The sequence below is a fragment of the Homo sapiens genome, chromosome 18 (assembly GCF_000001405.40).
Source record: "Homo sapiens chromosome 18, GRCh38.p14 Primary Assembly".
Lineage (NCBI taxonomy): Eukaryota > Metazoa > Chordata > Mammalia > Primates > Hominidae > Homo > Homo sapiens.
The window spans coordinates 76,049,924-76,064,102 of NC_000018.10; the positions used below are offsets into that span (position 1 = coordinate 76,049,924).

The following is a 14,179-nucleotide window of genomic DNA, read 5'->3' on the forward strand; positions in this document are numbered from 1 at the left end:
TCAGGGATCTAGAACTAGAAATACCATTTGACCCAGCCATCCCATTACTGGGTATATACCCAAAGGATTATAAATCATGGTGCTATAAAGACACACGCACATGTATGTTTATAGTGGCACTATTCACAATAGCAAAGACTTGAAACCAACCTAAATGTCCAACAACAATAGACTGGATTAAGAAAATGTGGCACATATACACCATGGAATACTATGCAGCCGTAAAAAATGATGAGTTCATGTCCTTTGTAGGGACATGGATGAATCTGGAAACCATCATTCTCAGCAAACTATCACAAGGACAAAAAACCAAACACCGCATGTTCTCACTCATAGGTGGGAGTTGAACAATGAGAACACACGGACACAGGAAGGGGAACATCACACACCAGGGACTGTTGTGGGGCGGGGGGAGTGGGGAAGGTTAGCATTAGGAGATATACCTAATGTTAATGAAGAGTTAATGGGTGCAGCACACCAACATGGCACATGTATACATATGTAACAAACCTGCACATTGTGCACATGTACCCTTAAAACTTAAAGTATAATAATAATATAATATAATATAATATAATAAAAAATACGTGTGCATTTAAATATGTTCCTCAATTTACTCATCAATTTTCAGTACTGTTTTTTTACAGGTGTGTAAAGGCAACTTAGCTTTTGAGAAAAATGAGACATTTTGCTGTTATTTTATTCTCTTTTAGAAAATGCCGCACAAAGGTGTGGGGAAAGTGTCAACAGAAAGATGGAATTCTTTTGTTTTTTAAACATATATAAAGTTTTCTCACAGAATACTTCTCTTCTGGTTTTAAAAGTATTGAAGACTCATTATAACATTTAATTAACAGTGAGAAATTCATCACATTAACGATGCTCAGTTAAAATCCAGGCCCCAGGAAGGCACTCAAAACGTATAGGTTAAGTTCTAGTCAACATTAACATCCGCCACTTTGCACTGTTGTGTAGCTCTCGATTAAACACACTTTGGGATCATAATGTACATGGAATGCAATCAATGGTGCAACCTTGGAGAAACCAAATCTGAAATATCTCCTCCTCTCTGGGCAGCCACCACCAACCCACTTACACACCTGGAGCTGTCCATCTGAGCTAAGGTTAAAATGAATACACACCCGTTCTGTCCCAGGGTTCACACGAACAGGAGAAATAACTTAGAGTAGAAATTTGAAACAGAGTCAGTTTGGTGGCTTCTTTTTCGCCTACAGAGAGTTTCAGAATCCTCTCAAACACTGTTGAAAGCAGGGGAAAGGCTGCTTTCTGTATTGCTGCAATTTCCAGAAAACATTAACTTTATAAAGCACAGATTCCAGCTTTTGGTATCTTTTGACAATCTCAATAGGGGTAAAGATCAAGGATTTCCCTACCAGCAATTTGCAGATGCTGCTCGAAGCTCTTTCTTTTGGAAGAGATGAGGAAAACAGAATAATAAAATTCTTTCCAAAAGGAAACAATAGTTAACTGTATTGAAGCTGCAGCTAATTTGGGTTTGTGAGCATTCCCGCACTATGTTTCTGGGTTTTCTTTCTGAGATAGTCTTCTCCCCTCCGCCATTTCATGCATGTATTTATATGTATCATTTTCTTTCTGTCTGTCTTTTAGGTTCTGTTTGTACTGAGGCTTCGAATATAGAGCCAAGTCTTGTTTATTTCCTGCTATGCAGTTATCCCAAGATTGCGAGCCTGTTTTGGAAAAAAAAAAAGGATTTTTTTTTAATTTGGAAAGCATCCTGTTCTGTAGTATTTCAAATTTAGAATTCCATTTAGCTGCAAAATGAAAACAAAGAGATAAAGCGCAGTCCTGTGTGTTCAAGTTCAGATGAATCTCAGCCACATTCCATAGATTATTTTGATTTAGTTTTAACAAAATACCACATTAAATCACTCTAATGAGCTGTGTCTGTTCCCCTCTCCGCACAAGGTCATTAGGTACAAGACAGCATCTTTCTGCACTGTCTTCACTATTTCATGTCAGAGATGTCAAAAAAGACTTTGATGGTTTTCTATCGCAGAGAATAGGACACAACTGTTCCTAAAGGGAAAGGGTATGTACCTTCGCAGGGAAGCGATTTGTCATGTTTCTCCAGGACTGGTTCCCGACACTCACGGCTGAGAAGTGCAGGCACACATCTCGTCCTGGGAGGAAAGTTCACCACCCCTTCCCTCCTGCTCACTCACAAATAAGCTCATCTCACACACTTCCTTCCAGCAGCCTCCTTCCACGTCTGTGCTTCCGGGGGATGAAAGGAAAAACCTGAAATTAGCATACATATTTAAAATACCTGTCATTAAATGAATTGTGCCTCTTTTTTTTTAGGGTACCAGCTGTCTTTTTAATTAATGAGAGTTGCAGGTACATGATGCTCACAAATATTGCACCACACACCCCGTACACCCATGGCAGGCCAGACGCTCACTTCCATTGTGCCGTGGGATGCAGACAAGGTGAGGGCAGCCAGGTATCAGAAGGTGAACAGCTCGGAGTTACACCTGATACACTAATTACAGAGCAACAGCTCCTGTTCCGGCTTCCAATGAGGGGTCTGAACAGCCTCGTCAGTGCTTTCCGAGGTTGTTAGCGTGACTAATTATCTCCTGGTGTAGTTTCCGTGAAGGCTGGTATTCAGAGGAACAGTAAGCAGGTGGATGCCCATTGAGGGCTAGGTAAACTGAAACAGGCTTCAAGGCAATGCATTGGTGGATACAGAGCCTGGGTTAAAGTTCAGCAAAGTTTCCCAAAATGGAAGATAAAGTCAAAGTCTAAGGACCCGAGCCACGAATTAACATGAGTGAAGCTGGCAATGATCTGCATTACTAAACAACTGTGTATTGCTGGTTGATTGTAACATTTTGCTGGTTGATAGGCATTTGCAAGTTCATATCAGATAATTCTTAGGTATATTTTTTATTTTGTGGCTACTGTCTCTTAGCCAAACTTCACTTCTGTACACTAGGGTGTTAGTGAATAGGATATCTGTGAAAAAGATGTCTGTGATCAAATCTTAAAGCACTTCTACCAAACTAAAAGATAAGATTATGCCAAATGAGGTCACGTGGAGAGATTTACTAACATACAAAAGTCTTGAGGAACTTCATGGAAACGGGCTTGCAGTCGAAGTTGTTTTAAACTCTTTTTCCACCTTTCTCTTGGGTCCCACCAAGACATTCTGAAATGAAGAAAATCAAGCCCAGCAGCCATATTTATTTTTTAAGAAAAGAAATTGGAATCTCTTCTCTCTGCACAGATTTCACAGCACTGTGCTTTGTTTGCCATCTGATCCTTGTGACAACCCTGGACCATGAGCAGCAAAGGTGCCACCACCCTCTGATGAGAAAGATGTGGGGATGTTGGGGGCTGGAGGTGGCTGAGGCAGACCCAAGTCATGGGCACTGGAGTAGCAGCCAGATTAATCACAGGGAGTGCGTAAAAGAATAAAGAATGAGAAGGGGCTCGTGCAGATGCGGGGGCAGGGGGTGGCACCCTGGAAGCCATGCAGGAGTGCTCTTTAAGAACCTGGAAATCAGTTTTCGCTTTGAGAATTAAGCTACACCACCAACACAGCATGATCAGAGCTAAACAAAACAAAACTCCATCAACGAGATGGACTGCCTTCACATCCAGCATGAATTAAAAGCAGGCTTGTCAAACACATCTCAGGGCGAGAAGGCCCTTTGGTATGACACGATGCAGGCCTAAAATGGAAGCACCAGAAAGAACAGTTATGTGGGGAAACTGCTGCAAAGCCCACCTAAGTACCGACCCTGGGAGCGAGTCCTCTGCCCCCAGCCCCAGCGCCTGCCCTGCCTAACAGGTATATCTTACTGCGGACCTGAGCCACGAATTAACATGAGTGAAGCTGGCAATGATCTGCGTTACTAAAAAACTGTGTATTGCTGGTTGATTGTAACATTTTGCTGGTTGATAGGGATGTGCAAATTCATATCAGATAATTCTTAGGTATATTTTTTATTTTGTGGCTAGTGTCTCTTAGCCAAATACCATTTGTGTACACTATTTGTGTACATGATGCTCACAAATATTGCACCACATACCCCGTACACCCATGGCAGGCCAGACGCTCACTTCCATTGTGCCTTGGGATGCAGACAAGGTGAGGGCAGCCAGGTATCAGAAGGTGAGCAGCTCGGAGTTGCACGTGATACGCTAATTACAGAGCAACAGCTCCTGTTCCGGCTTCCAATGAGGGGTCTGAACAGCCTTTGTGTACCATTCGTGTGGCTGGACGTTGGAATCATCAAACTCCGTGCTCCTGTTCTGACTGCCTGTTCCCCAAGCATCCTTCTGATTGTTTGACTTCCCAAGTAGCTTGCCTACAGGGAGAGAATGTGTTGGTCAGGATGAAGCCAACATCTGGTCCACTTGACACTTATATTACTCACTGTAAATTAATGAACTGGCACTCTGGTTTCCTGTGTCAGTCTCCTCTGAGATGTGCTAACACGAGTCAGTGTTCTTGAGCCAGACCAACTCTGAGACCCTGAAAAATCCAAGCCTGTAGATGGAGGGACTGCACCAAGCCAGGCCGGAAGTCCACTCTAAAGTTTCTGCAGACCCCAGTTAAAGTAAATGTCATTCCCAAAGATAAGCACAAAAATAATCATCCCTTCAATCACAAATTGACCTGAAAATTGTAAGGCAGTGTATGTAATCCAGAGATGCCAAGTCAGCAGGGGACTAAACCGGAGACCTGGTGGTAATAAATGGCTGATACCACAGATAAAAGTATGGGGCAGGCCTGGGTGAGCACTGAGACCTCAGAGGCCTTCTCCCACCCCCTGTCAAGGTGGGACAGGGACAGGAGCATCTCACTCATGAGAAATGACCTTGTAGGTGTACAGGAATTAGAATCAACGGAAAGGGAGCCTCTTAAAAGAATTTTTTAACTAGCTGCAGAGTTTCTTCCCAATCGACATTTTCTTATATGATCCTGATGACAATGTGACAATAACATACCAGGTGTCATAGAAGAACCACACTGACATTAGACTGTTTCACACAAATGAAGTCACTGTTGAAATAAGAAGAGAGAGTGTCAGAAATGAGAACGCAGAGCTGCACTATCCTCTGTTGGGGTCCCTTGCAGTCACTTGGTGTGTTACAATCCGCAGTCCCAAGTGTAGGCAGACACAGATACACATGTACGTACAGCCCCAAGTGTGGGCACATGTACATACAGCCCCAAGTATGTACACATGTGTGTACAGCCCCAAGTGTGAGCACATGAAGATACACGTGTGTGTACAGCCCCAAGTGTGAGCACATGAAGATACACGTGTATGTACAGCCCCAAGTGTGGGCACATGCGGATTCACGTGTACGTACTGTCCCAAGTCCTCCGGAAAGTGTGAGGTGGAGGACAGCAGAACCAACTGCTCTGGGTCGTCAAGAGCTTTCTGAGTCAGGTGGATTTGCAGCAGAGCTGCTTTGCTCTTGCAGTGCCAGATAAGCTCCCCGGGAACGCCATTGGTGTGCAACGAGACATTAATGGTGGCCCGGAGCCTTGGACCCTGACCGGTGAGAGCAACGCCTTTCCTTGGCACATCTTCCTGAATTAAAGCGTGAACCCCACAGGCATGGGAACAGAGGAAACAAGGCGGCCTTCCGTTCTTACAGCTCCATTTCCCATACTCACATCCATTATCTTCCGTGGATTGAGTCATTCCGATTCTGGCAAATCTCAGAAAAATTGCAAATGTGCTTGTCTCCGACTGCCGTGTGGATAGTTCACTATGCTGTGAGTTCATGGTGCTATTTAGTTTACCTCGATCAGGCGCCATGGTCCAAATTGCATACATTTTCGACATTAGGAGTAACTGGTGAATGATGACTGCCCTCCTGCTTCAGAGGAGTGTGGTCTGTTTGGGTGCTGGCCACATCCTTGTGTTGTTCAGACGGTTGTCTGTTTGGAAGAGCTGAAGTAAATCACATCCACAGATAATAGCGCAGTAGGGACAGTGCCTAGGGGAGGGAAAAAAAAAAGAATAATACCTGAGTCATTTCATGTGCTATTTTCAGGAAAGGATATTTGAAAATTTCAAAGACATTTGGTAATTTCAAAGACATTTGATAATTCTAAACAGCTCGTTAAATTACCCTGCTAACTGTAGAAGAGGAAGATCGTCCAAATCTCTGCTCATATTGCTGAGGGGGCCAGGCATTAGGAAGAACTCCTGCACAGATTTTTGGCGAACACCAGGGCCCTTTTTTTTCTAAAGACATTCCCTCTATTGCCCGCTGCTTGCTGCTTCATAACACTTGACAAATTCACAGTTCTTAAAAGCCCCCATAAATGTTTTGAAAATTGCTCCATTTTATCAGGGAGTTCTCTGAGCCTTGTCCCTGATACTCACCATGTTTTCATTCTCCATTCCTTGTTTATCTTTATTTTTATGCATTTTCCAACATATAAGGGCTGTCGTTATTAGTATCAGCATTCTCGTTATTACTATCATGACGTTAACCACGGAAAAGACTCAGCATCTGCGAGCTAGAAATTCCCGCAATTGTGAGATTCTCATCACTTCCCCAAAACTAATAAAAAAAAGTAAATAAAACCATCTAAAGAAAAAAGTAAGGCATCTTAAGCTGTTATGTGCTTCAGGAAAAATCCATGTGCATATCTTACTTCTTGCAAGTCAGCTTAAGCTGGCCAGGGGCCGGAGCATGGCTCGGTCACAGATATTGAGAAATCCTTCACCGAATTCCATTTGGACAGGAGGAGTAATTTCAGGGTATGTGGGTGGGAGAGACTTGGAGAAAGGGAGACGAGAGAGCATAGAGTCCCTGATGGAGTACGGGGGAGGGGACGAGGAGGAAGGATGGAGTGAGTTAGTAAAATTGCACTAGAGACCTAAAATTATAGATCTGTTCGGAATATTAATCCCCACAGCTGCTAGAAGGAGGCCAGCCGATTGAAACTTCTTTGGAAGACTTTCCTGGACAAGTTCTATTAAAAATGAGATAGTGTACTGTAAATACAGGATCACGTGCTCCAGCATTTTGTCAGCGCTCCAGCGCCTGATTCATTCCCAATAGCACAATCTACTGGATATTATACCGGGACTGTTAGGAACAGCCGGTGCATGTTTCCATCACTCAGAATGGCTACCTTTTTAAACACAAGCATGTAAATGAAATATTTTCCCCAGTCAAGCCAACCCCGGGCCTGGTACCAAGCAAACACGGGTGCACTGCGGTCTTCGTGCAAATCGGAGTTGACGCCTACGCTGGGTATCAATCTCTTCCGGTCCAGCACTGACACGAGAACTTTAATACCAATGAGGAGTCGGACCAGCCACCAGCATCGGCATTAAAAGAAAAAGAAATCCAATGGGAAACCGATTTTCCTTCAACAGCTGCTCGCCGGTGTTTAATTTCTACCCTGGAAGTCCACTTTTCAGAGATTATCTAATAATTGTGGCTGAGTATGGGCTAGGTAATAATATATCAATAATAGTTCCCCTTCTCCTCCAATCTTGCAGCCAGTAGTCGCGGAGATCACTAAGATATTTCACAACACTTTCGAGAGCGCCTAGACTTTTAGGGGGTTCATGGGCAGTGTCGGAAGATATTCTTCCCCAAATGACACAGAGCGGGCCCCTCGGCTTCCAGCCAATCCACTCATCTCGGCGCCACCCGGGGAAATCTTGGAGCTGTTCTCCGAATTCCTCATTCGTTTCCAGGATGGCCGTCTCTGACATTAGTGGCATTAGCATTAAATCACAGCCTGGATGCTAAATCACACCCTGATTTAGCACGAGGAACACGAGGAACAAAAACCCTCGTGGCTGGGATGGAATAGCTTCATGGGCTCCGAGGCAGCATGCACAGCAGCGCCCAGAGCAGCTGCAAGGATGGTAGGTAGTTAATAAACTAAACGTGTGATGCCGGCCTTGGTAAGAGGCATTTGGAGCCAGCCGGGTGCGTGCATAGAGGAGGGGGTATACAGATACTTAAAAGCTACTGACATGTACTCACAACCTAACCCATTTCCTCCTGCACCCCAGCTCTGTCTCTAGTTCACTGAACGGCATCTTATAGCTCCGACAGGTGCACACGTGATCCTGACATAAAATCAAGGGACGTTTTGTCTGATCAGCCTCCTATGTCCCCTCTTAATATAAGAGCAAAGGCACCCCCAAGAGCAGAGATTTAAGGAGAGATATTTCAACAAGGGAAAAGGGAAGCCTTCCCAGCTGAGGGTGACACTTGAGGCCCATCACCGAGCAGGGGGGCTCTGGAAGATGCTAGAAAGTAAACGTGATGAAGATAATAGAATGATATTCTTGAATGTGGGATGAGAGAGAACTAACTCACGCCTTCTCTATCATATGAATTGCCTTGTCCACATGCACACGCATACACACGAGTGCACATGTGTGGGATTGAGGGTGATGTTCTCGTGGGAACAAGGGAGGCCTTCCTCTTTAAGACTTTCTGTCTTGGTCGTTGTTCCTTCTCAAAAGCCCCGGTGACTCTCATCTCCTTGTTGTCAGAGGTGGCATCTGACATGGGACGCAGAGTGTGTGACTGCAAGGCACCTTGTGGTTGCGGACTCAGTTCATACCCTGTGAGTCCTTGGACGCTCCAGAGTTATTACCGGATTGTAAATCCAGGGTTTTCACATATATAAAGCTGAAACCAGAATGTGGTTTCAGAAAAATCACACTGATGCAACTGTTTGGAAACAGCCTCATTTCCTGAGGCGTCCTCTGAGGTGGCTTCCCCGAGCCTGCGGGCAGGGCGTGCAGCCCCCTCAGAGGACCTGCTGGCCTAGTAGCCGGGAGGAAACAGCGGCCGAGAGCACACCCAACTGTTTTCTAAACTCAGTTACCACCTGCAGGGTAGGGTGCAGGCCCCCAAAGGGATGTGTCCACGTCCCAACCCCCAGAACTTATAAATGTGCAAAGAAGGACCTTATTTAGAAAAAGTCTCTCTGCAGGTGTAATTAAGTTAAGGATCTTAAGATGTGGTCATCCTGGACTATCTGATCAGGACCTAAATCAATGATGAGTGTCCTTGAAAAGAAAGGTGGAGTAAGGTTTGGGACAGAGAAGAGAAAGCTATACAGAGACAGAGGGAGAGATGGGAGTGAGGTTGCCACAAGCCAAGGAACACTTGGAGCCACCAGAAGCGGGAGAGGCAAGGAAGGACACTCCCCTAGAGCCCCCATGAGAAGCAGGGTCCTGCAGAAACCTTGATATCAGACTTCTGTCCTTCAGAACTCTGAGAGGATGAATTTATGTTGTCATCAGCCACCGGGTTGTGGTAATGTTGCAGAAGCGTAGGAAACTAATACCCTACCACAGAAAGGGAGAAAGCTCACTTTATCCTAGGCAATAACTTTTATCCAGAAAAATTCTCCTTCAATAGATATAACTAAGATTTCACCTGTAAAAAACAAAACAACAACAACAACAAAATGTAGATTTATTTATGCCACCTTCTCATGAAACAAACAACCCTCAAATAGACACGTTAACATCTGTTTAGAATTTGCAACCAGAAAGCACAGGTCATACCAGGAACACACTGCCACTTACTGCTATGGTCTGAATTTTTGTGTAGCCCCCAAATTCATATGTTGAAATAGTCACTCCCAGTGATTAGATTATGGAGATGGACCCATCATGAACGGAATTCGTGCCTTTATGTAAGAAGTCCCAGAACCCTCATCGGTAACCCTTCCTTCCACCACGTGAGAAGATGGCCATATATGAACCAGGAAACAGCCCTCACCAAACACTGAAGCTGCTGGTGCCTTGATCTGGGACCTCCCAGCTTCCAGAACTGTGAGAAAGACATTTTTGCTGGTTATAAGGTTATAAGTCACCCAGTTTATGATAGTTTGTTATCACATCCCAATCAACACTAAGACACTCACTAATGTACACTTAACTTAGGTTTCCAAATGGAAATCTTAATTTCCCATTTTAAAATATCTATGTTTCTATTATTTTGCAGTTTTCTCTAAATACACAAAATGACCAGTGCTGTATATTTGCAATGATAAAAGTATTCAGATGCTAAGCCCAAACGAAAACTCTGGGTCAGAAGTGAATTTTTGCTGGCTCCTTAAAAGTAGAATGGCCATGAGGAAGGAGAAATGACCAGTTTTTGAAGCTTGGGTACACTGAGAAATCAAACAAAAATGATACGATTTTTATATACTCCCTCATGATACTGAGCGAGTGTTCAGTGGAAAGCGAAGGGAGTGCCCCGTGTTTTGCCTGTGTGTCTTTTCTAGCGTGGGTCCTGGAACCAACAATAGGAATGCTCCACAGAAGCAGAGGAGTTGAGTGGTCCAAGTACCAGATCTGGAGCTCTCAATCTGTAGCCGCAGGACCAACAGGCTGTTTAACTTCTCTCTGCCTTGATAGCCTCATATTTAAAATGGGGTGAATGAGAGCAACTAATTTAGAACATAACTGTGAAGATTAAATGAGACATTATATGCCAATCCCTTAAGACAGTGTCCCAAACAAAGTAGTGCTCAATGAAAGTTAGCTGTTACTCTGAACCTTCAATAGATGCAGGATCTGATGACACTTTGCAATGTTGGTTCAAAAGCCTTGGAAATTCTTGAGGAAAGTAAGATTCACACACTCCCCCGGGGCAGAGAGAACCTAAGTTCTAGGATTGCTAAATTTCACTCAACAATCTTCGGACAGCACCCTGATTTCCAATGTTTTGTTAGTATGGGATTGTGTTTGTTTCATATTTATGATATTTTACATTTTGTGAATTTCTCTTTGAATTTCATTCAAATATTTGTTACTGTTTCTTAATTAAAGTGAAATGTTTATAACATGAAATTAATCATTTCAAAGTGGACCATTCAGTGGCACTTAGTACCTTCACAGTGTACTGCAACTACCTCCTCTATCTAGTTCCAAAATATTTTTCATCACCCTAAAAGGAGGTCTCATACCCATGTATAAGTTAATTGCCAATCACCCTGCCTACAAATCCCTCAGAATCACTAATCTGTTTTCTGTCTCTGTGTCTCTACTTTTCTATTCTGAATATTTCACATACATGCAATCATACAATAGACGACATTTTATGTCTGGATTTTTCCACTTAGTATAAGATTGTTGAGGTTCATCCAAGTTTTAGCCTGTATGAGTATATCACTCCAAAATCCTTTTTAGGGCTGAATAAAGTTCCATTCTATGGATATACGGCAATTTCTTTATCCATCAACTCTTGATCAACATTTGGGCTGTTTCCACCTTTATGCCATTGTGAATGGTGCTGCTATGAATATGCATGTACATGAAGATGTTTGAGTCCCTATTTTCAATTCTTCACCATATATACCTAGGAGTGGAATTACTGGTTTGTATGGTAATTCTACGTTTAACTTGTTGAGGATGCCAAACTTATAATTCTGTTCATTTGTTGCAGATCTTCACAGTGGCTGTACCATTTTACATTCCCACCAGCAATGTATAAGGATTCCGGTTCTTCCACATTCTTTCCATTGCTTGTTATTTTCTCTTTTGTTTTTTTGGTTGGTGGATTGGTTGGTAGGTTGGTTGGTTAATTATAGCCATCCTATATGGGTGTGAAGTGCTATTTCACTGTGGCTTTCTTTGACTTGCATTTTCTTATTGACTAATGAATGATGTTGAGCATCTCTTCATGTGTCTGTTATCCACTTGCATATCTTCTTTGAAGAAATGTCTATTCAAGCTCTTTGCCTATTTTTAACTGGGCTGTCTTTTTGTGGTGGAGTTGTAAGAATTCTTTATGTATGCAACATACAAATCCCTTATCAGACATGTGATTTGCAAATATTCTATCCCATTACATAGGTTCCTTTTTATTTTTTTTTTTTTTGATTCATTGAAATTTTATTTTTTATGTTGTGCTTAATTTCCTGCTTCCCTGATAAACACAGCAGCTTTGGGTGGGGTCTCTTAGTCTTTTGCCCAAGTGGACATCATAGGCCCCCAACTCCTTCACTCACAGGAAAGTGAAGAATTGGGTGAAAGAGAAATTATGAGGAAAGTAGTTTCATAAGTTTAGAACAGCGACTTCATTATGGACCCTGGGATGTAAATTCTAGCTCCATGTCTCAGTAGCTGTGAGACCGTGGGCTAACTCTTGGGCCTGCTAATCCTATTTCCTCTTCTGAATGGTGGGGACAGTGACAGTGCGTGCCTCCTAGGGCTGCTGTGAGGTTCATGCAGATGATCACTTTAACTAAAATAATGAAAACAATATTAGCTATTCATAATATTTTTGGTGAAGAAATATTTTCAAAATAGGCACAAGTTAGCATATTTGCTTTTTTATTTCCATTTTTTATTATACTTCAAGTTCTGGGATACATGTGCAGAACGTGCAGGTTTGTTACATAGGTATACATGTGCCATGATGATTTGCTGCACCCATCAACCCATCATCTACAGTAGGTATTTATCCTAATGCTATCCCTCCCCTTTCCCCCAACCCCCAGTATGTGATGTTCCCCTCCATGTGCCCATATGTTCTCATTGTTCAACTCCCACTTATGAGTAAGAACATGTGGTGTTTGTTTTTCTGTTCCTGAGTTAGTTTGCTGGGAATGATGGTTTCCAGCTTCAACCATGTCCCTGCAAAGGACATGAACTCATTCTTTTTTATGGTTGCATAGTATTCCAAATGCCCATCAATGTTAGACTGGATAAAGAAAATGTGGCACATATTTTTTATGTAGCCTCTTCAGCAATAGGTCTAAAGCACAGTCTCTATGTCAGAATGGCTATTTCTTTAATTTCAACATATCAGCACTTACTTCTTTTTTTCTTTCCAAAGCTACTTCCTTTCCAGGAAAAAAACTCCTTCTCCAGGTTCCATTCCTTTTAGCACTACAGTGAGCATAGTGTGAACAGCGACAGCCATTCTTGAAGCCTCAGCTGTAGCCAGTTGGAATGGGGTAGCTAAACCACCACAGCCCCAATACCTAATGAGCTTTCTCTGTGCCTATTAGAGGGTTGGAAGGAAAATAGATCATCATAATCATAATCAATTAATCAAAAACTTTAATAAACTATGAAATAGTATTTCCTGAGTACCTCTTGTGTTTTTATAATCCTAAGAAGAAAAAAAAAAAAGAGGTACAGAACTCAGACCAGCAATAAAACAAGTAATCCACAGTAAAGTATCAAGTATCAAGTATAATAACCCTTTCAAAGATAGAAAAACTAAACTTTGCTGAACAGGAAATTAGAGAATTCCGTATAGTAAGGTGTCAATTGCAAGGCATCCACGAATAGTTAAAGGTGGAAGAAGAGAGAGCAGAGGCTGGTGTTCCGATGAAAAATGCAACACAGTGGCTGAACTTCAGCATCCGTGTGTTACCAGGCATTTGCGGGTGCAGCTCAGTGATAGTCAGCCGAGACCCTGACAACATAAGCGACAGAGGATCTACCTACTCAGTGGAGAGCTCACTCCTTTCTTTCTTTATTTCTTTCCAAAGCTGCTTGCTTTCCAGCAAAAACTCCTTCTCCAGGCTCCCCTCTTTTTAGCACTACAGTGAGAGTAATACAAACAGTGGCTGCATCTGGGTCAAACATGAGTACGGTGGATTCGAGGCTTTTCAAAAATGTCCACCAAAGTGCCCCAAATAGCAGAGGAATAAGATGCAGCCAAGCAGATAGCAGGGGCATATCCCAAAACAGTCCTACAGAAGACCAAAGTTTCCTGAACATTTTTGGCCCCTCTCAGAAGGTTGTCCAAGATCTGTGTTTGATTCCTTGATATGTTAAAAAAAATTGTTTTACATGAAAATGTATTAGATAATTTTAAGGGAAAAAAGGTGGGTAAAAATGCTGCTCTAGGAGACCTTTTCCCCTCTAGTTTCCCTTTTTTTTTTTTTTTTTTTTTTTGGAGATGGAGTCTTACTCTGTCACCTAGGCTGGAGTGCAGTGGTGTGATCCCAGCTCACTGCAACCTCCACCTCCTGGGTTCAAGCGATTCTTGTGCCTCAGCCTCCCAAGTAGCTGGGATTACAGGCACACACCACCATGCCCAGCTAATTTTGTATATTTACTAGAGATGAAGTTTCACCATGTTAGCAGGGGTTGATCTCGAACTCCCGACCTCAGATGATCTGCCTGCACTGGCCTCCCAAAGTGCTGGG

General features: G+C 42.9%; 1 protein-coding gene and 1 long non-coding RNA gene across 2 annotated transcripts, besides 1 other annotated feature; both read right to left on the reverse strand.

The window, feature by feature from the left end:
- Positions 1 to 682: 682 nt before the first annotated feature.
- LOC124904339 (uncharacterized) lies at positions 683 to 2,267 on the reverse strand. The gene is made up of 2 exons (XR_007066434.1): positions 2,080 to 2,267; positions 683 to 1,709 (listed from the first exon to the last, which is right to left on the reverse strand). It is a non-coding gene; the product is annotated as an uncharacterized LOC124904339 (long non-coding RNA).
- A 1,560-nt stretch (positions 2,268 to 3,827) lies between these two features.
- On the reverse strand, positions 3,828 to 6,623 carry LOC105372204 (uncharacterized). The gene is made up of 2 exons (XM_011526288.3): positions 6,399 to 6,623; positions 3,828 to 6,006 (listed from the first exon to the last, which is right to left on the reverse strand). The coding sequence occupies exon 2, from the start codon at positions 5,850 to 5,852 to the stop codon at positions 5,106 to 5,108; it is 747 nt and encodes a 248-aa protein (XP_011524590.1). The 5' UTR covers positions 5,853 to 6,006; positions 6,399 to 6,623; the 3' UTR covers positions 3,828 to 5,105.
- Positions 4,854 to 6,053: an enhancer, noted in NCBI's record as "MED14-independent group 3 enhancer chr18:73766732-73767931 (GRCh37/hg19 assembly coordinates)". NCBI's record gives its function as "activates an origin of replication core promoter dependent on BRD2, BRD4, P300/CBP and CDK7 cofactors, and independent of MED14, by STARR-seq in HCT116 cells {active_cell/tissue: HCT116}" and the evidence as "EXISTENCE:reporter gene assay evidence [ECO:0000049][PMID:35650434]".
- Positions 6,624 to 14,179: the final 7,556 nt, after the last annotated feature.

Bases quoted from the DNA above. Each gene is read 5' to 3' on its own strand.
- LOC105372204 (XM_011526288.3), bottom strand. From the start codon at position 5,852: ATGTCGAAAATGTATGCAATTTGGACCATGGCGCCTGATCGAGGTAAA.